This window comes from Homo sapiens, chromosome 5 (assembly GCF_000001405.40).
Source record: "Homo sapiens chromosome 5, GRCh38.p14 Primary Assembly".
In the NCBI taxonomy this organism is placed as follows: Eukaryota; Metazoa; Chordata; class Mammalia; order Primates; family Hominidae; genus Homo; species Homo sapiens.
Window position 1 is genome coordinate 116,507,596 of NC_000005.10, and position 23,450 is coordinate 116,531,045.

At 40.0% G+C, this 23,450-nt stretch overlaps 1 protein-coding gene across 7 annotated transcripts in view, besides 3 other annotated features; it reads right to left on the reverse strand.

Annotated features, from left to right (window-relative positions):
* The window catches only part of SEMA6A (semaphorin 6A), a 131,269-nt gene that overhangs the window by 64,041 nt on the left and 43,778 nt on the right, over positions 1 to 23,450 (reverse strand). The window lies entirely within an intron of this gene.
* Positions 10,308 to 11,507: an enhancer, noted in NCBI's record as "MED14-independent group 3 enhancer chr5:115853599-115854798 (GRCh37/hg19 assembly coordinates)". NCBI's record gives its function as "activates an origin of replication core promoter dependent on BRD2, BRD4, P300/CBP and CDK7 cofactors, and independent of MED14, by STARR-seq in HCT116 cells {active_cell/tissue: HCT116}" and the evidence as "EXISTENCE:reporter gene assay evidence [ECO:0000049][PMID:35650434]".
* Positions 15,229 to 15,803: an enhancer, noted in NCBI's record as "H3K4me1 hESC enhancer chr5:115858520-115859094 (GRCh37/hg19 assembly coordinates)". NCBI's record gives its function as "activates a minimal SCP1, AML or CMV promoter by ChIP-STARR-seq in primed H9 embryonic stem cells {active_cell/tissue: H9 hESC(primed)}" and the evidence as "EXISTENCE:reporter gene assay evidence [ECO:0000049][PMID:30033119]".
* Positions 15,804 to 16,376: an enhancer, noted in NCBI's record as "H3K4me1 hESC enhancer chr5:115859095-115859667 (GRCh37/hg19 assembly coordinates)". NCBI's record gives its function as "activates a minimal SCP1, AML or CMV promoter by ChIP-STARR-seq in primed H9 embryonic stem cells {active_cell/tissue: H9 hESC(primed)}" and the evidence as "EXISTENCE:reporter gene assay evidence [ECO:0000049][PMID:30033119]".

The window sequence follows — 23,450 nt, forward strand, 5'->3', positions numbered from 1 at the left end:
AGTGCTACCCACATGTAGCATATTTATAGGTATCTGCAAACATTTGTCGATTTCCCTGTCTGTGACTGTGCTTATATAGGCTAAATATAACTTAGACTTAAGCAGCTATTCAGAAAATTAGATAAAGGAAGACTGTCAATATAAGGATTCTAAATGAAAACATTTACTTCATAAGTAAGCCTATTATATCTGAATTTTCCATCTACTTGTCTCAGCCTTTCACTCTCCTTAGCCTGAAGTGAAATGGCCTTTGTAAAACATACCATTACTACAAAGTTATAATCCTAATTTGCCCCAAACCCCCAAATTCACAGAAAACCTTAAGAACATTCTTCATTTTAATAGGCATCTGCTTGGTGAATTTGTCAGGTCTATTTAGGTTCATCTGAAACTAATTTGTATTGACTTTCTACACCCAAATTTTTTTTCACAATAATTTTTCCCTACAGTTTTTAAGCCCAAATTGGATCACAGAACTGTGATGTACAAATGGTGTTGTGATTATTGGTTGCCATGAGCCAAATGAACCATGCAGAATGCTAATTGGGCAGGAAACCAGCTTTCAGGTACTCCAGATTGAAGACGAAACAAAGGAGACCAAAAGGACTGTCTGAAAACCGTGTGAATGCATTCACGCTGATAAATTTTTTAAAAATAATAAATTCTTTTCAATTACTAGAGCTTCCATTTATGCGCACCCTTACCTCCCACACCCTTGATGTACAGCGGGTCATTGTGTCAGCCAAGCATGAAGCAAAAGGGATGGCAGCGGAGCTGGAAATGATTACAAAGTCAGAGAATGAGTCCATCAATTGCCACATCTTACTTCTAATGAGTCAGTTTAACAAGCCACGAGGACTGGGAAGCCATGACAAGTGGACCCAGCCAGAGTACCACGCAGGCTCACCCCTGACACTAGTTCTAATCCTCTGCCCAACTATTCCTCCAAATCCTGCCCTGGAAAATTCTACGGGGGCTCACAAACTCGTAGTACCTGGCAGAAGCTGACTCAGAGAGAAGAAAACAACTAAATTAGCAATATTGAGGGAAAAATAGGAGATTTAACAAACTCCAGATTTTTGACTTCTTAAAAAAAATCAGAGGTTTGGCTTTGCTAGTCCAAGACCCCACCTGACAAAACTCTGGAGTTGAGCATTGGCTGCCCCAAATAGGGCTCTCTCCAGACGGAAACATTCCCACTCCTTCCCACTCTCTTAGGAGGCCTTCCTTACCCATTAACCTCACCTGCCTGCCCTTGAAGGTTCTGAGGGAACCTTTATACTACCCAGGTACAGGACATCAACGTTGCTGCGTGAGGTATTCTGTTCCTCTTGACCATCATCTGCAAGTGGCTGAGCAGCCTTAGCAAGTGGACCATGTGGAACCCACTGTCTATACACACAAATTAATGAACACTGCTTGTTTTAGAGACCCGGCTGGGCTGCCCCACCAACTGTCTACATGTCCGGTTGCAGCAAACGGTGCATAAATGCTTGGTGCATCAAGTTGCATGGAGGACTTGACTGTATGAATACAATTTGTGTCTGATTTGGTAGACATGGCAGCATCTTCCAGAATGTTGGCACACAAGGAACATTTTAATAATAAGTGATAGTGACGTGAAAAATAATATATCTGGATTTGCAAATACAAAATGCTTTTAACAACTCCAAGTGTGGGCTTGAAATAAAAAGGAAATGATAATAGTGGCACTATTTTTCCCTGAGCAAAGTCACTTACTACCATGTTTCAGTAATTCTTTTAAAAAGCTCATTTTCTAATATCATATGAAGTTTTAAAGATAACCAACAATTCATGCTGTCATTAACAGAGGGAAGAGCACATTAATGGCGTTGACCTTGGGCAAGTTAGTCAGCCTCACTAGCTCCTAGTCTCCTCACCTGTAAAATGAAAGGATATGAAATGTAATAGTCTATAAGATTCCTCCGGCTCTGTGATGGTACTGTTCTAAGGGATTCTGCCCCAGTGAAGAAGGGTGTCTCTGTGTGTGTGAGAGAGAGAGAGAGAGCATGCGATTAGGAAGGATGGTACAGGGAGTGGCCTGCCTCTGGGTCATGTAACACATTCCAAAGCCAGGAACATCACCTGGAGAGATGAGGTAGGGGCGGCAGGGGGAATAAGGGGACCCAGGCTGAGGTGGGGTGAGGTGCTGGACCTCCACACAGCTTTCCTCTTTGTCCTAAAGGCACTGGAAATGTAGTTGGGCTCTTGTTGTTGTGTCAGCCACTCTCTGAGATCACCACAGAGGGCAGGCAGAGAAAGTTCTATGCAGTGGGGCAAGTGACCTTTCCAAAACAAACTGGGGAACAGGGCTCATTTTTCCCTCTACACTCTTTCCTGGTTGCTCCTAAGCAGCATGTGGTTTGGAAACTCTAGGGATAATCAGCGTGTCAATGTGTGGTACTGTTTGTGGCAAGCATGAGGGGTAGAACGAACTCTCTTCCATGTAGCTCTCACTGGACTGCAATAGGCACATCATGAAAAGTGGTGAAAAGTTCATCAAGCGAGAGCAAAGAAATCCCAGCATGCTATACTGCCTAGTCTCAACTTCAGGACCCAGTTCAAGTAGATAAGCAGTTCTAATCTGACCACAGAGAACACTGTTGTTACCATGTAATCTTATTTAGACTTCAGTTGAGTTTTACACTAAATCTAAAATTTTCATTTTTATTAACTCAAATTTTTGGACCTCATCATCTTTGTCTGTACAGTGTGACTGCCTCCAAAAGTGAATTGAAATTGATTTAAAAACTCCTACGTGACATCAAACTATTGCAATAACATAGGAGAGCAGAAAAGAGCAGGGGGTGAAACCTGGGCTTTGAAACCCTCTGCCCCCTTACTAGCTGGGACCTCTAGCAAGATGCTTAAGCTCTATGAGCCTCAGTTTCCCCTTCTTCATATGGGTAAAATAGTGTCTTGGAGACTCTCCATAGTCCTCAATAAATGTTTATTTATTCTTCAGCTGAGACACTAAAAATTACTTTTTAATAGCTTTTCTTGGACTCCTTACAAAATTCTCGGGGAGGTCCTAGATTAGCTTCTAGTGTTCTACTGCTTCAGTGAGAGAAGTCTCCTTCTCTCCCTCCCTCCTTCTCTCTCCCCCACCCACTTCAAGTCACTAAGCTTCTTATCTCTGGAGGTGGTCACTTGGAGAGGCTGGAAAGTTTGTCTTGGGAGTCACACAAACATGGTGTGGTTTTTAAAAAATGTAAATCATGGCACTCACACTAATGCAAAGAAATATAATGATGTGGAAAATAAAGAAAGGACTGGGTGGAAGTGGGGGTCTACTGAGTATCTTCTGTGTGCAAGGTACATATGCCTATTACTTTATTGAAACAGCACAGCAACCCAGAGAGACAGGCCTTATTATCTGTGTTGTAAACACAAGAGTAAACTGCAATTCAGGGAGGTTAAGTAACATGTCTAGGCAGCACATAGTAAATACAGTCGTCCTTCAGTATCTGTGAGGGATTGGTCCCAGGACCTCCCAAAGATTCCAAAATCTGGGGATGCTCAAGTCCCTTGAATAAAATGATATAGTTTTTGTATGTAACCTATACACATCCTCCTGTATACTTAAATCATCTCTAGATTATTTATAATACATAATACAATGTAAATGCTATGTAAATCATTGTTTCACTGTATTGCTTAGGGAAAAGCAACAAGAAAAAGAAGTCTGTAGATGTCCAGTACAGATGCAATTTTTTAAAAAAAAATTTCTATCAGCGGTTGGTTGAATCCACTGCTGTGGAACCCACGGATAGAGAGGGCCAACTATATTTACAGCACAGTAGTCAAAGGGTAAAGACAAAACTCAAAGCCAGGTCTGTATAATGCCAAAGTTTATGTCCTTCCCAAGGCATTAAAGAAAAAGGAACAGAAGAAAGGTTGGAAAGAGAAAGGTGATGGCATAAAAGGAAACTGCACTTAAGTTCATATATAGGCTGATGCATCTATGCTTATGTGGACGAAGTGGCTGAAAGTCCCTAATGGCTTCGGTGATAAAAATCTATAAAGGGAGTACACAGTTGCTCCCAAACATGTAGGCATGCAAAGCCTCATTCCACTTTATGGCCCTGTGATTGCAGCCTTAAGGTGATAGAAAGATGCAAATGCTTCTCAACCAGTTTTAGGAGAAATTGATTCTCTCATGAACACCACTGTGTTAAGTGGAGCCACTTGCCTGCTTGCAGCCTCCCTCAACCGTGATGTTTTAACATCAACACATCATAGAGAACAGTGTCATTTGCAAAGGGTAAGAAAGAAGTTGCCTGCTTCAGTAGCTGATAGGATAAACAGATGTGGACATATCTCAAGTGAGTAAGGAACCTCTGTCCAGAGAGAGATGGGAAAGCAGGTGTTTTTGCTGAATATCCAGCTGGAGACCTGCTTCACAGAGGCTGGAACTGCTGATCATTCTTGCACCAGAGGAAAATTTAAAGAAGTAATGAGTGTTTAAATAGTAGGTATCCTTCACTGACCTGGACAGCTCTGTTTCAAGGACCGCAGCATTAAGAGGGTGCTGCTGTCCACAAGATGCAGAGCTGGGTCAAAGAACACATCCCATCGTAATTAGAAACAACCTGGGCCCATTGATCCTGTTTGAAACCTTTATTGTACCCAGTTTGCAGGAACCACGAGGGCCGCCTGTTCAGTGATATTTGCATTAAGATATAAGGTTCGGGCAAATGAGAAAAATAGCTCCAGCCTCTTAATAAAGCATCTGGTCTTTCTTTCCTCCTTCTCTCAGCCATTAAGAGAGACATAAAAGCACCCATTTTGGAGGAAAGGGAAATGCCACAGACCTAACTTCAACACATTTTGGAGAGTGATGATGGCATTCAATGGAGGATAATAATAAATATCGACTGGGTGTAATAGATGTTCCATTTTAGATCTGAAACCACTATCACAAAAACGTAGAAAAACTGAATTCGTAAGTACTTCTAGAAAAAAATATCTTTTCAAAAAATAAAGGTTGGTTGTATACGTATTATCTTTTGAGGGAGAAGGCAAGTCTTTTCTTTCAGATGATTCTGTTATGTTCGTTTTCTTTCTCTCTACCCACCACCCCCACCCCAAACACACAGCCCTGAGCCAATGCAGTTTACTTGGATGTTTATTGCACATTTATTGCACTTTACTTGGATGTTTCAGATACAGTCTCATGGCCCACTGGGACTCTGCTGCTATAGTCACGACCTTAGTAGGCCTGAAAGTATTGTGGCAAACTCTGTCTTTATCTCAAAAGTCTGCAACAGTCTCAACCAGGCTTACCTGTGGTATGCTCTAGCTTTTTGCCATCACCATCTTTGTAAACGTTCTTTGTTTGTTTGTTGTTGGCTTAAAGGTGGCTACTTTGTTTTGAATTTTATTTTTACTTTTTGTGGGTACAAGGTAGGTGTATATATTTACGGGGTACATGAGATGTTTTGATACAGACATGCAATGCATAATAATCACATCAGGGTAAATGGGGCTATCCATTATAAAGGCAGCTATCTTTTTTTTTTTCCCCCGCGACGGAGTTTCGCTCTTGTTGTCCAGCCTGGAGTGTAATGGCGCGATCTCGGCTCACCACAACCTCTGCCTCCCAGGTTCAAGTGATTCTCCTGCTCCAGCCTCCTGAGTAGCTGGGATTATAGGCATACATCACCATGCTCAGCTAATTTTGTATTTTTAGTAGAGACGGGGTTTCTCCATGTTGGTCAGGCTGGTCTCAAACTCCCAACCTCAGGTGATCTGCCCGCCTCAGCCTCCCAAAGTGCTAGGAGTACAGGTGTGAGCCACCGTACCCGGCAAGGCAGCTAATTTTTACCTCTTAATCTAAACCTTTAGTTTTAGAATTCCAGACCTGATTTTGTACAATTCCTCTGGAAAACTCTACTTACATGTATGGCTTACTTGTAAAACTCACACAGTATGTCCCCAGACTGTAATCATTACCTTCATTCCCAAACCTTCCTCTTGATTTTCTTTTTTTTTTTTTTTAATTTCCAACTTTTATTTTAAGTTCAGGGATACATGGGCAGGATGCTCAGGTTTGTTACATAGGTAAGCGTGTGTCATGGTGGTTTGCGGCACAGGTCATCCCATCGCCCAAGTATTAAGCCCAGCATCCACGAGCTATTCTTCCCGATGCTCTCCCTCCTTCCATGCCCTGCCCTCTGACAGGCCTGAGTGTGTGCTGTTCTTCCCCGTGTGTCCATTTGTTCTCATCATTTAGCTCCCACTTGTAAGTAAGAACATGCGGTATTTGGTTTTCTGTTCTTGTGTTAGTTTGCTAAGGATAATGGCCTCCAGCTCCATCCATGTCCCTGCAAAGGACATGACCTTGTTTCTTTTAATGGCTGCATAGTATTCCATCATGTATATGTACCACTTTCTTTATCTAGTCTATCACTGATGGGCATTTAGGTTGATTCCATGTCTTTGCTATTGTGAACAATAGCAGTGCTGCACTGAACATATACGTGCATGTGTCTTTATATCAGAACAATTTATATTCCTTTGGGTATATACCCAGTAACGAGATTGCTGGGTCGAATGGTATTTCTGCCTCTGTCTTTGAGCAATCACTACACTGTCTTCCAGAATGGTTGAACTAATTTACACTCCCACCAACAGTGTAAAAGCGTTCCTTTTGCTCCACAACCTTGCTAGTATCTGTCGTTTTTTTACTTTTTAATAATAGCCTGGTGTGAGATGGTATCTGATTGTGGTTTTGATTTGCATTTCTCTAATGATCAGTGATTTTGAGCTTTCTTCCATGTTGCTGGCCACATGTATGTCTTCTTTGAGAAGTGTCTGTTCATGTCCTTTACCCACTTTTTAATGGGGTTGTTTGTTTTTTTCTTGTAAACTTGTGTAAACTGTTTACAATATTGCTGAACTCGGACATCTGCTTCAGATGCAGAAACAAATGCCTCCTATAATTTGCTGTTAAGAAAACTGAGGTCCAAAAAGGTCACTTGCCGAATGTAGGACAGCTCAAAAGTGGCAAAGATGAGCAGCAGCTGAGAACTCCTGACTTCTCTTAGTGAGCTCTTTCCCTGCCTTATGCTACTTTCAGAAGGGAGCCAAAATTCATTCACTTCTCCTTGGCTTGCTGCCTGATGTTCATTACTACCACTGCCTGATTTCCATCTTACCAACTCCCTGTTTTCTACTGGGAGGCTCTGTGCTAAGATGCTGATGCAGATAGAGATGGAAACAGCCCCTCCCCTTGCATCACCCCCAGGACCTCACTATTCAGTGGATGGGCCCCATAGCTTTTGCTCATTATTCCAAAATAGAACACATACACAAATTAACAATAATCTTCCAAAAAGAAATTATTACTCTGTTGCCAAGAATACCACCTGGAAAGTGAAGATGTTGCAGAGGCATGTAAGGTGGGATGACTGGCAAAGGCTTCTGGTTGGAGAAAGCCTTAGAGGGTTGCATGACTGTTCACTGTGGAGGGGGCAGGTGGGAACTAAGACATTTCAGGTAGAAGGGCCAGGCCAAGACAGCAGCGTGTTAAAACAGACAACTCCATGCTTATTGGATTTGTAGACACTCAAATTAGACTAGTTCATTCTTTGCTTAAGGAATTTCAAGCATTTGTCTGAAGTAATGGATGGATGTTTTCCTTTAACTGAAAGTTTGGTTTAAAATATTACAGCTGAGAATAAAGATTGTGTCTGATTACTATTTTTTCTAAGAATATGACAGAGAAGAAGGGGTGGGGGAAGCTCTGAAGTATAAGCTCAGAATATTGGTATTTATTTGCTTGAGGTGTTGAGTATATGGGTTATTTTTGCGTTGCTCTCCCTAACTTTTTCTTTGTAATTTTATTAAAAATGAAGCAAACTGCAAAAAATAGTATGCCTGAATCCAAGCATTTTTCCTAGCCAGTAAAAAGATATCTGGAGAGTGACTTTAAAGGAGCAAACCAGAGATATTTTAGCACCTAGAGTTTTCCACATACCTTTGTCAAAGTCCTTAGAGGATTTAAACTAAAATAAAGCAATTGCTGAACTTTGACAGGACGACTCTCCCTAATAATTTCTCCTCTGTTTACTCTCAGTATAGTTAATAGAAATACAATCTCCCAGTCACAACTTGAACCTTCCTGATCTCCACTCTGCCTGGGATTGCTCAGGCCTAAACGGCTGCAGGGATGTGTTCTTTCCCCAGTTTTAGAGTAGAAGTCAACTTCAAACCTGGCTCCTACAGAATTAATAACAACCTGCAAGTCGCTCCGTTGAGCTCTGAATAACAGCCCCAAATAACAATGTCATCAGTCACGAATGATTTAAACTTTGACCTAACCCTATAAATCCTTACTGTTTTCTTGTTGTTTGTCAACATTTTTGGTAAGACAGTCTCAAGATCAGGAAGAAAGTGAAAACATTTCCTTGAACTAAAATGTTGGCATCAGGTCCTTTGGTGTTTGCTGCCTGTGTCAGCCCTCATTGTATTTCCTGCCTCTTTCGATGAGCTCTGATGCTTTCCCAGAACCCTGAAAGCCAAAAATAGAGTTTCTATTTGATTACAAGCTTCTGATTATACAAAAAGAGGCATAATATCATTTCAGGATCTGCTCCATAACCAAGCATGATATTGATGCTGACTGGTGCTTATCATCAGTAAAGTATCTATATACACAGTACATTTTCTGTTCATCTGTGTATGTCCAGACACATCGAGAACAGACATGATATGGAAGAATTATATCTTGAATTTCTATAATTTTCCCACATTTTTGGGGAAATTCATTTCGTTTATCCGAAAAAAGCCTGCTTTATGTCTCAGTGAGCTCAGTGAAAACTGCAAACCCACACATTTTAACCTATTATTAAATTTGATAGATATTTCAGGTTTTTTTTTCTGAAAATTACTAATATCTTTATTGGCTTTGCTCATTTACTTTTATGTAAAAAGTGACTCATTAGCCTGGCTTGATTTACTTAGCAAAATAACGTAGGTGTTTTCCAAAGGCAGTTTATCAGTTTGAATTGTGGTGGAGAGAAGACGATTCACTAGGTGCCTCTTCCCAAACCAGAGTCAACTCTAGGATACCACCGCATAAAATGTTCATTTGCTTTTAATGTGAAATCTTATCTTTGGAATTAATAATTATCCCCAAACATCCTGAAAATATGCTTCCTTAGAGCGAATGAAAATAAATTCTACGAAATTATAGGTTTGTTTGAATGTCTCTACCACTTGATGACTTGACTCCTTAAACAGGTGACTTCAGGGTCACCGCACAAACAGAACAGTCCTGTTCTTTGGCAGCATCTGGAGGAATCATTTTGGTGTTCATTGTTTTTGAAGTCTGCCCTGAGGCTCCTTAAGTTTAAAGAAAAATACGATTTGCTATCCCCTGTTTCTCTAGATCTGGATGAGGCCAAGTTCATTTCAGGAGTATAGGTACACAATTTCTTATCTGCAATTACAAACAAAACAAAAACAAACCCTGAAAACCAAAATGTTTTTTCTACTCATTGTGTGACAAGCTTGAGTTGGCATGAGACCATTTGTAGTCCTTATTTATCCCTCTTAGGATGAATATTTATGCATTTTGCTGCAAATTATGAACAGGTATGATTATTAAAAATTGCTCCAGACTCCACTGGTGTATGTTTCCCATGTTACTTTTCCAAAATCTAAAAAATTTCAAAAAAAAAAAAGATTGGGACACTACATGCCTTCGTTCCTAAAGAGATTAAAAACAGGATATAAAGTGATGGAGAAAGGAAATCCTTGAGAGTAAATTCCCAACACTGGTTTTGCTAAAATGAGAACGTCTCTTAATTATTCCACAGTGTGTTGTGAAATTCTCACAGAATTTAAAAAAAAAAGTAATCTGATTTCACATATTTTTAAAAGTGTATGTCGTATCATACTTGCAAGAATAATTCAGAGATGAGGAATTGCTGACTGAGTTACTTATTTTTCATTTCCTATGTTCTGGGCTTATAATGACAGTTTTCCAGGCCCCTCTCCAGACAAAGGACCGACAAGAACAGACTTCCACAAAATAAGTGATGTTCCCAGAGCAGATGTAATCTTGGTAGCAAGGTCCCAAAGCCTCTCCTAAGTAAGTGATATCATCCAGAAGCAGCAGAAGTGACTGCCTCCCCAGGCTCAGCAACCCCTCCACCTGAGTGAGCTGCATTTCTTCCCATCTGATGGCCAACTACAAGGGAGTCAGCACTCCTTCCTCTCTCTGTAGAAAATGGACAGACTTCACAGGCTTTTTGTGCACTTGGTGATGGTGTCTCCAAAGGAGATTCCATGATGTCAGAGCCTGTAATCATTTTCTCCCCAATGGAATATGCCTGGTCACGGCATTTTCCAATCCCTGGCATCAGAAGCAATTGTCAACTGGCAGTATCTGCCCTCTGCTTTGTTACAGGTACCTGCCTTTAATTTTCAAATATCTGTAATTTTCTTTTGATGAATAACCCCAGAAGTTTAGGAACTAGTTACTAAAATTAAGAATTTGGATTTCTGGAATATTTGGGGAGGACAACTGTTATCTTGGACAACAGGTAGGGGTGGTAGAGAAGGAAGACAGACTCTCCTATTCCTCTCTGAGGTGCCCTCCACTGGCTGTCCCTCACCTTTCTTTCTCCCAAAGTGGACACTGGGCGTCAGACAACAACGTAATCAATTTTAAGTCTGAAATAAAATGGAGGCAAATGGTTAATATCAGATAACTTGGATACAAGGTTAATTACTGCAATCCAATTATCAGGAGGGAAGACAGCACATGAATATCACCAATTAACCCCTAAATCAAATTTAAAAATCACCATTCCCATAATTAATAGCACAGCAATCACTTTAATTACCATCTCTGCCAGACCAGAATAAGGAGGAAAAGTGAAATTATCCAATAAGTTTGAGTGTGACAAGAAGAAACCAAACTAAAGTGCTGAGGGTCAGACAAAAGAGAGGTGATAAATCAGAGAGAAAGTGAGTGTGAGACACACACCCAGCCCTGCAGGCATGCCTAGGCGTGTCACTCTAGCATAGCACAAGGATCCCTGCACGTGTGTGCTTGCCTTTCTTTGGGAGGAAATGGAGGCACAGAAAATGGATAAACGTCTCTAGAAGCTACTTAGCCCTGGTTACTGGGAAGCAGAGAGGTCAACCTGCATCATCCAGGCTTTCACTAGTAAGGATTTCAAGTTCTGAGCAATGAGAAGGAAAATACACACCTATGGAACACATGGAGAGTAACAACACATGAACGTCTTTCAAAGAGGAGATTCCCCACGTTCACTTTGAATAACTAAAAGACTAAGGCAGAATGACTTTTTTCTCAAACACGGTATTTTCCTACTGGGTTAACATAGTCTTTATCTCTCCTAAGAGTTAAAAAAAAAAAAGTCATTCTAAAATGTTATGCAAGAATAGGCAGATGTGTTCTTCACATATCTATTTAATCAGCTCTTTCCAGCAGCACTAAGACATGAAAGAAAGGTTGAGTGTCGTCCAGAATCCTCAATGAGAAGAGAGCAAAGTGCTGTGTTGAGCTCCAGTCTTGCAAGATTCCCCAAGCTGGAACACTGCTCCACTATTTGGAAGTAAGGGAGCTAAGGGCACCTCCTCCATTCTCACACAAAAGGTACATTTGAGGAGTCATTATCAATAATTTTTCCAATTTTTTGAAAGTAATTCTATTCCAAAGGAACACTGCTTTTGTACACCACAGGGTACTTTTTTAGTGTTTTGGGAGGTACAAGCAAGAACATGAGATGTGAGAAAATATCGTACAAGTGTGTAGGCATTGAAAGGATGTTCCTTTGACTGTTCAATTAAACCCAGAAACAGCTTTTGTTAGTAATTTTCCTGTACTCATTCATTCACTCATCGAATTCAGTCACTTTAGAAATGGCTGAGTTTCTAATATGTGCAGGCAAGGCACTGTGCGGGAACAGTGCGGATATTGGGGTCATGGGCTCACCCATGGGTTCTGCCCTTGGGAAGTCTCCAGACCACTGCAGACTATACATAAGTGGCTATAACGATGCTGTGTGTACACACACACACACACACACACACACACGCACACACATACATTATACATATAATACAGACTTACATAAAACACTGTGAGTTAAGAGGACCAAGAGACGTAATATCCAAGTATGGATTCTATTTCCAAAGTACATGCCAAATCTGCCCACTTCCCTATGTTCTACCTACAATCCTCTTAATCTAACCTAACCTCAGCTCCTGCCTCATGACAATTGCTATCTACTTAGTCTTTCTACTTCCACTTGGCCCTCCTTCAGTTTAATCTCCACACAGCAATCAATGGTCTTTTAGAAACATAGATCATGTTATGTCCTCCCTTCCATAAAGCCTTCCAGTGGCTTCTTAATGTATTAACAACAAAATTAAACCCTCTATTCTGGGCACAAAAGGCACCACCCAACTGGTTGACCCCATCATGTTCCATTCCCACTCTGTTCCAGCCCCTGTGCCTTGCTTTCCTCAAATGCACAAGCTCTCATTCCTGCCTCATGGACTTTCTGCTCTCTCACCTTGGAATGATCTTTCTTCCAAGATCATAAAATGTCACTTCCTCAGACAGGCCTTCCCTGAGCCCCCAAAGCAGCCTGATGCTTTTTTTTTTTTTTTTCATCACTTTATTCTACATTTCTGCAATGGATTTGTTCCTAATTGAGATTTTCACTTGCTTTTGTCTGTTCCTCCCCTCCACTAGAATGTAAGCTCTATGTGGGTAAATTGGTCTTATTAATCACTGTATCCCTCCCATTCAAGAACAAAGTCTAATGTACAGTAAACTCTTAACAAATATTCATTAAATAGTGAATGAAGCTCTAAAAAAAGAGTATCAGGACAATTTCTGAAAAATCAGTACTAAAACAAGGAAAAGGGGAGATGCAAGGGGCAGAGACTGGCATTTTTCAGATATCTGAAGAGAAACCTAGAGGACAGTTGTGAGGGTAGACCTAAGATCAATGGGTAGAAACTATAAAGATGATTTCTGCTCAAAATAGGGAGGAACTTTCTAGCAGCCCCTGTAACACACACATGGACTAGCCTACCTAAGGGGATGGGGAGGCCAGATGAGTGCTAGGACAGAAGGAATATTCTCCAGGAATTTAGACGCAGGATGCAGGGCTAGACCAGACAACATTTAGGGTCCCCATGGAGAACCTGACTGCCTATGGTTCTTGGATCCTCTGACAAGTCTTTCCTCCCACGTAGTGAGGAAGTACTGTTCAGAGCAGGAAGCCACAGATGGTCCAGAAGGATCCTGCTGTGGACTCAAACTCTTGCTGGCAGCTGCTCCTAGGGCTCTGTTGTAATAATGTCCCTGGAATCAAAAGACCAAAAGAAAGTCCTCAGGCTTTGGCCAATCCTCATTCATTGTCTCCCAGTTTGACCAGATTGTATAGGATATAGATCTACAGCCAAAAAGCATTTGCAAGGAGACAGATGGCAAGAACCTAATGAACATCATGGCCAATGACAGAAAGTCTCTAGGGATGGAGACATCCAGCATCTATACAGCTCTACCTCTTTTTCACTACAAAGCCCAGAGGTGTGGATTGTGGAATACAAAGTGAAGCTCTGGTTGTGTGGCCTTCCTGGGACTGTCAAGCACTGGCTTGTTACTAAGGCTCGATTGCCAATGACACACAGACCCCAGGAGATGGTTTAACTCTACTCTTGTCTCAAAGCCCTTCCCAGTGACTCATAACTTTCTTTGACACCAGAACAGCTGGGCCAGCCAGCTGGAGAGAAGACATACAGATGTAGCTGGCTGGAGTTTGAGGGGTAACGGGGCTGTGCAGTCAGCCTAGTATCCTGCAGTGGGCTACAGACTGGAAGTCTCCCCCTCTGCAGACAAGTCATGGGTGGGGACACTGGCTCTGTCATGACCGTCTCTCATCCTTCAACACATGTGTGTTTAGAATAGAAAGCACTGCAGCTCTTCTTCAATGGCCAGTTGGGGGATGTTTTATTTCTTTGGGGAATATTAGATCCTTGAGCCAATCCATCTGGGGAAGGTATGAGAGAGAGTACTCTGGCCAGAACATACCACCTACCCAGATGTCTCGGCGTAAAACAGAACTCAAATGAGAGAATGTGTGAAAGGCTGAGAAGTTAGAGGGGTGAGGGAGAGAAAGAGATCATTTTTGTTTCTGAGAAAAACATTTAAAACAAAGACTGACTACCCTTTCACTAACATAATTTTAGATTAGTTGTTATACACCAGAAAAAAAGTATGAAACATATATGTGTAAAATCCTCATTAGAAATGGCTTGTTTAGGCAACATTGTGCACATTGAAGGTACTTATTAAATATTTGTTGATTTTGATCCAAATAGCTTTGGGTATTTTTAAATATCAGTGCATTCAGTACCCCAGTGATTGTAAAGGGGGCTGTTTTTTGTTAATGAAACTTGAAATACAAGCCAAGATTGACTGATTTTTTAAAGTGTCGTGAATATTGCAGTTCTCATATATAAGCAACTAGTAACAGTGTCTCTGAGGGAGGAGGTGTAGGAGGTCAGATTTGGGTAAGAAACTCACTTTTTATGTTGTACATTTTTATGTTTTATTGACAATATTTTTCTTGTGCATGTGTTTTTTTAGAACAAAATAAAACTAGTTACTATTTTTTAAACTCTTTGTCTCTAGAGGCAAACCTAGAGCTTAGACCTACTGATAACCTGCCAGTTCCCACTAAACTAGAAAGAAAAAAGGATTTTTCCCAGGATCCCGTCTCTTCGCAGTATGGTCAGCCAATAGAAATATTCTGGAATACAGGATGCGGGTGAGGGAATTTATAGGCATTGTGGTGTCAGTAGTGATAATTCTAGTCGATCTGTGATGCAGATGGATGTATATGGTGGCTGGTGGTTTACACAGCACTATAAACCCGCCTGCGTGCCATATGAATGGCTAATTTATTAGCTTTCAAATAAAAATGTAGCAAACTCAGAAAGGCAGGCCACAGTGCAGTCTAACACAAAGAATCAGATGAGCTCAAAGCAAATAACCTTCATATTTTTTATTTTATGCTCCATAAGTGGGATTCCAGTACTGCAGATGGGAACTTTTTTTTTTCTCCCTTCTCTATCTGCACGTTGATTTCTGGGCAGGCACCTGCCCCCTTGTTCTCTGTCTTCACTGGCCTTTCTTCCTGTTCATTTCCTATGGCAAAGGAAGCCCAAATGCTGCTTTTGAAGCATCCCCAAAGGACACCTGACATTTTAAAAGCTGAATGAGTGTCCTCCCCTGAGACAGTCATCTTCGACCATCTCAGAATGACTGCTCCCAGAGAAGACAGGAGATTGACTAAACTAGAGAGAAAAGAAAGAATTCATCAGGAGAGCGAGGAGGGCAGTGTGGAGAGGTGCCCACTGTGCAAGGATGTGGTCAATGAGTTTCCTCCATCCCATCCCAGTACCCTTTCTGGGAACTGAGCTGCACATGACCACCTCCTCTTTTCTCTTTTTATTCATTTATTCAACTAACACTGAGCTAAGCACTAAGAAAGGAGCAAAGGCATGTTTCCTCCTTTTTTGGTTCTCCTTCTCCTCAGAGCTGAGTCTATTTTGACCACTTTGAGGTTGCTTTTCTCACCGGGTGGGTCACATTATGCTTTTTCTCTTGGGGTTTAAGGTCTTACTGGGGTGGGAGACAGCAGTTTCTTTTCTTTTTGAGACAGGGTCTTGCTCTGCTGCCCAGGCTGAAGTGCAGTGATGCAATCTCTGCTCACTGCAACCTCCACCTCTCGGGTTCAAGCGATTCTCCTGCCTCAGCCTCCCGAGTCTGAGACTACAGGCACGCGCCACCATGCCCAGCTAATTTTTGTATTTTTTGTAGAGACGGGATTTCATCATGTTGCCGAGGCCGGTCTCGAACTCCTGGGCTCAAGTGATCCACCCGCCTCAGTCTCCCAAAGTGTTGGGATTACATGCATGAGCCACTGCACCCGGCCTAGACAGCAGTTTCATATTTTTATGCAAAAATATGCATAAAACTGAGTATAGACCAGTGCTTTCCAAACTTGCCTGCACATTGGAATCACCTAGAGAGCTTCAAAAATTAAAGATGTCTGTGTTCCATACCCAGAGATTTTGACTTAAGTGGCTTGGGTGTGACCTGGGCTGTGAAAAATTTTAGTAGAACCCCAGGTGATTCTAGTGAGTAGACAAATATCGGAGCCGCTGATACAAATACAAATGGCATCCATATTACAATCCTAATCCCTTTCATTTCAATGCCTTCAGCCACAGCCAGGGATAATTAGCCATGATTCAAAAACCTTTACTTGTGCCAGCTGCATGGAGTGGCTTTAAAAATATCTAAGTTTATTTCATGTCCAATAACAACTGGACATTGAAACCTACCCTCATGCCAACCCACTTACAGAATATAATTTAATCCATTAAAAATTACAGGGAGGCATACAGAAACTTCTTTTCCAGCATGGGGCGTGCAAAGTATTTCTAATGCAAACACAGACAATAGGTATGTTTTCTTTTATGACAAGGTTGAAATAAAGCAGACCTAATGATCCCACCCAGATGCTGTGGAGAAGAAGCCATGTGAATACTGCACGAGGAAGCCTATCTCCCAGCCTTATCAAACCCACTTTTCTCTTCAACTGTGCCCTGGTAACCTGGGAAATATAAATTTTGATTACTGATTGCTGCATTGTTAGTAACTGACTATTTATCATCAGTAGCTGGTCACCAGTGTCAGTCCAGACTTAATTATCTCAGCTGAAGGGAAAGTAACCCCATGAAAGAATTGTTTTCCAATTAAAGCAGCATGGAACATGTGATTTGTCTCTCTGACCATATCCAGTTCATACTCCTTTTCAAGTTATTTGTATTGTCTTCTTTTCCTCATTACAAGCTCGGGTTGTGAATCTTAGGTTCCCTAGCAAGAAACACATAAATATCAAGAGGGCAGCTGTCAGACCTTTAAAAAAAAAAAATCATGAACAGTCACCACCAAAAACATTACAGTAATTACAGAGTTTCCACTAGCAAATGCTACACTTAGGGTTAAAGACATCTTTCAACATAACCATTTATTTTCATAGGTTCCTAACCTCCTATAGAATGTGTGTATAATTACATGGGTATGTATACACACACACACACACAGACACACACACACACACAATTTTTAGAGCTTATTCTTTAGGGGTTAGGATCAGATGCTCTATGCTGTGTTATAGCTATTGGGTCAATGACAAGGAAACAAGGAAACCATTTTTCTACTAGCACAAGTATTTTAGGTAAAGATCTAGACAATGGCATCTCTGAACTCTTCATTTTTCTTATCTTGTTTTTGCCATTAGTTTGATATTTATTTTGCATGTCTGCCCATTTGCCTATCTAGACAATTCTTTATTCCTGGAGCAAGGACAAAAGTTTATCTTCTCTGTGACTAACTCAACCCTGATCACTTTGTAAACATGGCCTTTGAAGTCTGGGTTGTTTAAGAAAATATTTATTCAGCACCTACTGTGTGCCAGGCATGTTCCCGACACTGAGTATTCCCCATGAACAGAAGAGGTCTCTGCTTTCATGGAGCTTATATTCTAGTGGGCTTCCACCCTAGTCCTTCCATTAGTGGCTGAGTGGCCTTGGGTTATTTAATCTGTGTAAGGCTCAGGTTTCTGTGCTCTAAAGTGGGATAATGATGTTTTCCCTTCGTACAGCTGTTATTAGGATAAAGAGCTCCTGGCCCATGAAGAGTTATTTAATTAATGTAAGCTTCCATTTTCTTCTCAGTCTCCTGTATCCTTTGAGTTTCACTGGAAACTCAAAGTATCCTCACCTTTCAGCATTTTGAATTTTGTATACTTGTTTCCTATACCTATATACCATCCCTTGTTTCCTAAAAACATTTTCCTACTGTAGTTCCAATTTCCCCCTGTCCTCAAAACTTCCCACCCACAGCCTTCTGTGTCTTGCACTGGAGCTGCCTATATTTCTTAGAAGATGGTAACGGCAGTTTGGTGTTTAACCAAAATTTTGTGGAAACTTAAATTATTCCTTTGGGAAAAAGAGGGCACATTTTTCAGTACCGTGCCAATGTAAAAAGGAGGAATAGCCTATAGTCATTGGTGGTAAGTCATTATCTACTTGGCTTGTAGTTCTCTTCCCAACTGCATTACAAACACCTCAAAGGGAGGGGCCGTTTTACTTCTATTTACTTTCAGCAATTCAAATTAAGCATTTATTGTCTATATGAGCAAGGAACTGTTTCAGGTGCTGTGGCCAGTACAAAGATGAAGGCTGGCTGGAGGAAGCAGCATTTAAAAACCTCTCTGGAATCTTTTCACCTAGCAGCCAGCTGCCCTAGGTTAAGAATATATACCAGAATTTCAATAAACTGCCCCTAACAGAAAGTTTTAAGAATTTTTCACTCTTCGATTGACTTGGGTGGGTGGGTGAGGGCTTTGGAGGGATGGCTCTTATTGGATCTTCCTTTGCCTTTTCCCCCCTTCTTTTTTATCCTTTGTGTCTTGAACTACTCTTCCCATGACTATGGTTTTTCTTTTCAATCATTTTCCTATTAACAGCCCCTCCCCACTCCACTTTTCTATCCTTTCCCTTTTCTGCCTTGTGAATTTCTACCCTTTTCTTAAGACACTCTTCAAACATCACCTTCTCTGTGAAGTCTCCCCTGATTCCCACTGACAACTAACCACTAATGTCTCTCTTTTTTCTTTCGAAATACTTGAGTGAGCTCTATCATAGCAATCAAATTGACATTATTTGTTTACTAATCTATCCACACCATTAGTGAACCTGGCAAGGGCAAATGAATGTTTGATTGGTAAACAAACGGATCAATGAATGATCTAAAATACAATCCCTGTCCTCAGAGGATTTACAAATTATGGGGTAGACAGGTATACCAATAAAAAGCTGCAAAATAAAGTATAAACACATACGTCGTATAAGAAAGAAAAACGCTATAGATTTTAAGTTTTAACTTTTCCAAGGGGCTTATATTACTTACTTAGCTCACTTTATAATGAACTGTCGCCCTTGAAGAAGTTACTATAGATTGCACTAGGCTTTCTTTTTTAAAGGCCTTAGTGCTAGCTCAAAACTCCTGTTCTATATACACGCCCAGGTAACGCACATCAGACTGACACCCAGCATTTGCCTTTCTACTTGCAAATACAGGTCTTGAAATATACATGAAATGTAAGATGCTGGTATTCTTACAGTAACACAGCAGTTTCACATTCTATGAAATCCCTGACCTAGTTACATTGCTGAGGGCACAGCTTAAGTGCATATAATGCCCAGCATGAGGAAAAAACTGTTATCTTGAGAAAAGTAAATTTTGCATTCCCCAAGTTCTGTATTTTTAAATCTGTGACCTTAATATTACATTAGATATTTTATTCAATTATATGGACAATGAAATAAGAACTGAGAAAGATATAGCTGGCCCCGAATCTCCTGGGTGTGAAAAGATGATATTTATTGTGTCTACTCCCGACAATAAAGTTTAAACTGTTACTTAAAGCTCCAGCAAAATATCAATTCAAACACAAGTTAATTCTTCACAGTCATACTTAACATTATATATTTTTTTCTGAACTAAAAAAAAAGAAGCAATTGAATATTTCTGCCCTAAAAAATGGATAGAGTTGGATCTTTCAAAATGTTGGAAAAAGAAAATTAAACATGGCCAAAAGACGAATATTGCCAAATTAAACAAATGGATTTGGGGTTTGCAAAATAAAATAAACTATTCCTAATGCTTCAATACGAGGAAATACATGCGCTTTTTTCTACTTGCATGGAAGTATTTCTCACATAAGCACTTTCAAAACAATGATCTTTTATACCCAATAAGCCATGAAAAGTTGAAAGTATAAGGGAGGTTGAGGAAGAAATTCTTATCCACCTTCTTCCTAAGAGCTGATGTCCTGTGTGCTGGGAGAAAGAAGTCGGTAATGTGTACGTTTAACCTCAAATGTATACAAATGTTTTTCTAACATATTCTTTGTGGTTCAACAATTCTTTTATTTTTTCTTGTCAAACCAGTTGGTTCTAATGAGTCTAATGATTAGTCTTCGTAGTCAGAGTTAACAGTATAACGTGACAGTTAGTAACGACTTTCAGTTAAAAGTCAACCCTGTGATGCACAAAACCTTGGATAAGATTAAATTTTAACAGCTTCCAACTAATCTAAAGGCAGAAGTCCAACTCAGGTGTTACTATTTTAATAACACTCAAATCTAAAAAGCATAAAGCAAATGCATATTAAAAGAAGAACAAAGATGCGAATTAGAGAACCAAACAAAGGAAGGAAAACAATACAGGTTTTTCCTTAATTAACAACTTTTGCAAGACATAAGTTGCAGATACAATTTCCTGTAGGTCATATCATTTAGGTGAATCTAGTTGTAAAGCAATTTAGAACTCTCCAGGAACAGTAGAGTTTAAATAACTAACCAACAAATGTGCAGTCTTTTCTTTTGCTTCCTTTTCCTTTCTTCGCTTCCTTAACAATTGGAAAAATATTCTTAAATTATTAATATAGTACCCGATTTGCTTCTCATTTCCCAATTTCATTCATTGAAACTAAAAGTAAATAGCAAGCCTTAGTAAACTTCCAGCCAGGTTTCTTGCTTACAAATATAATGTGGATTTCTGGAAGTGCCCAGTTAAAGGGAAGTACAATCCCACAGACCCCAGTACCTTGCTGACCAATGCCTCCTGCCCAGCCCCATCCTCATTCGCCTTTACAATATCAAGCTGATACTGCAGAAGCAGTTGATTGTCAGGAGAGCCAGCTCAGGTAAATTAACTTAATGAAACAGATGACTTTGTATGTATTGAAACTGACTAGGCGCTCAAATATCCACTCAGCTAATGAGCTTGCGATAGGACCCTGGCAGAGGTGTCATCATTCTGCCACTAAAAGCCTTTCTGCAGCCCTGCATCCTATCTTCCTGTCTGAAAAGCAGGCAGAAGCTTAACAGCCGCCAAGCTTCCAAAATGCAAACAGCAGCAGTTGCCTAAGTTGTGATTGATGGTACACAAAAATACATGGCTACTTCACAGATATTCTAGCCTGCAACAAATTAGGGATCTAAACCTTTGTGCTAGGCAGATAGCCAGTGTATTGTGGGGGACTGCTGTGGCTCTATAATTATATCCAGCCTGATAATCATCCGTTCTACCGCTGTGAATGGCTGTACCCTGGGACTTTAATTTCGCCGTCCCCTTCCAGCAGATAATGCCTGACCCTGTGTCACTTTGACTGTGAAACACATGAAAAAGACAAATGAGTTTTTCTCTGACCATGTTAAATTAACTAACGGATTCAAGTTGTGAAACTGGCATAATAATAAGCCAAGGCTCTGCTGGTACTGGGTGGACATTCAGACAGTCTCTAAGGGTGTTATTAACCTCATGCATGAAAACAAAACACAAACACCAAAAAAGAATCTGGCCAGTGTGAATAAAGAGTCTGTTTAGTGTGAATAGGGATTAACCAAATATTTTATATTCCAACCAGTTATTTTAGTATTTTGAGACACAGCTATAAGAGAGTGTTGAATTACTAGAGGTGAGGAAGGATGGGAAGAAGGAGAGCTTGCTAGAGGTTGGTTAACAGATACAAAAGTACAGCTAGATAGGAGGAATTAATCCTAGTGTTCTATAGCACTGTAGGGTGACTATAATGAACAACAACAACCTATTGTATATTTTCAAACAGCTAGAAAAGCAGATTTTGAATGTTCCTAACACAAAAACACAGTAAATGTTTGAGGTGATGGAAATGCTAATTACCCTGATTTGATCCTTACACGTTGTATACATGTATCAAAATTTCACACAGTATCCCATAAATATGTACAATTTTTATGTGACAATTTAAAATAATAATAAAGGAGGGAAAAAAGAAGACCACGCAGCTGGAGAACATCAGAAGCAGGATTAAAACTCAGTTTTCAATGGTTCCAAAACCATGAAGAATTTCCACAAATCCACACTGTTTCAAAAAAGAAAGAGAAAGAAAGAGTTGTTTTATGGTTTAAAACTAGGCATTAGCTGAAGGCAAACTAACACAGGAACAGAAAACCAAATACTGCATGTTCTCACTTATAAGCAGGAGCCAGACACTGAGTACACATGGACACAAAGATGGAAACAATAAACACGGGAGGCTGCTTGAGGGCGGGTTGGGGGAAGGAGCATAGGTTGGAAGGTTACCTATTGGGTACTATGCTCACTACCTGGGTGACGGGATCATTCATATACCAAGCCTCAATGACACACAATTTACCCATGTAACAAGCCTGCATGTATACCCTCGGAACCTAAAATAAAAGTAGAAGAAAAAATAAAAATAATGACAACAACAACAACAAAAATTAGGCATTAATTGAACGATTTTATAATCAACATTTCCCTCTTTTCTTTCAGAGTTGTATTTTGTTTTCCCAATCAGAAAGTGGCTATAATTCAATATCCTTGAAGATATACTCATTTGAACTAAATGTTGTAAATGTTAAATATCTTAGAAGAGAAATATCTCAGTGTTTACATTACTTTCATGCCAACATAAAAAGGCACTATTGCTTCCAGTAATTAGTAAAAGACATTATAATCTGTACGGAGAGTAATTGTGCAAATTCCAGTCTTGTAGTTATGTAGGCACTCCCTGTTATGCATGGTCTTAATTTTTAATATGTATTTTCTCTTAGCTCACTAAAATATCACGGATTTCATATTAATGCAGCTGAAAAGATAAATGTCCTTTCCCATGTTCCCATCAGAGGTCTGTGTGTTCTGGGAGGTTAAAAAATTATAACTCAGCTGTTCCATACCGTATTAAGATTGAAATCTGGCATCCCAGATGTGAATTTGTTTCCAAAATGAAACAGAATCTGGTAAGCTTTTTTTAAGAGAAAAAAATATTTTAGAAGCTTATTTTTAAAGTAGACTCATATTGCGTTCATGGGTGCTTTTAAGATAAAACTGTATACAGTTTTATTTAAAACTGTTTGGACTTCTGATGGGTAAAACCCCACATTTATCTAAAATTTTTACCTTTAAAAACAGGCCAATGAAAATGCAGAAGTTGTATTACCTTTCTTAATCAGTGACCAAAAATACATGCTTGCCTTTTCTTTAGGTGGTATATTTTCAAAAAAGCTCTCTCTGCCCAAGAGGAATTTATTTTTGCAAAGTAATATTTTATTGTGTGTTTACTGTATGACAGACACAGACCTAGCTCTTGATGTGTAATGACTCACTTAATCCTCACAATAGCTTTAGATATATGCCATTATTATCCCCATTTGACAGATAAGGAGACTTCCCAAGGTCACCTGCTAACTAGTAAGTTGGGGAACAGGGATTTGAACCTGGGACAA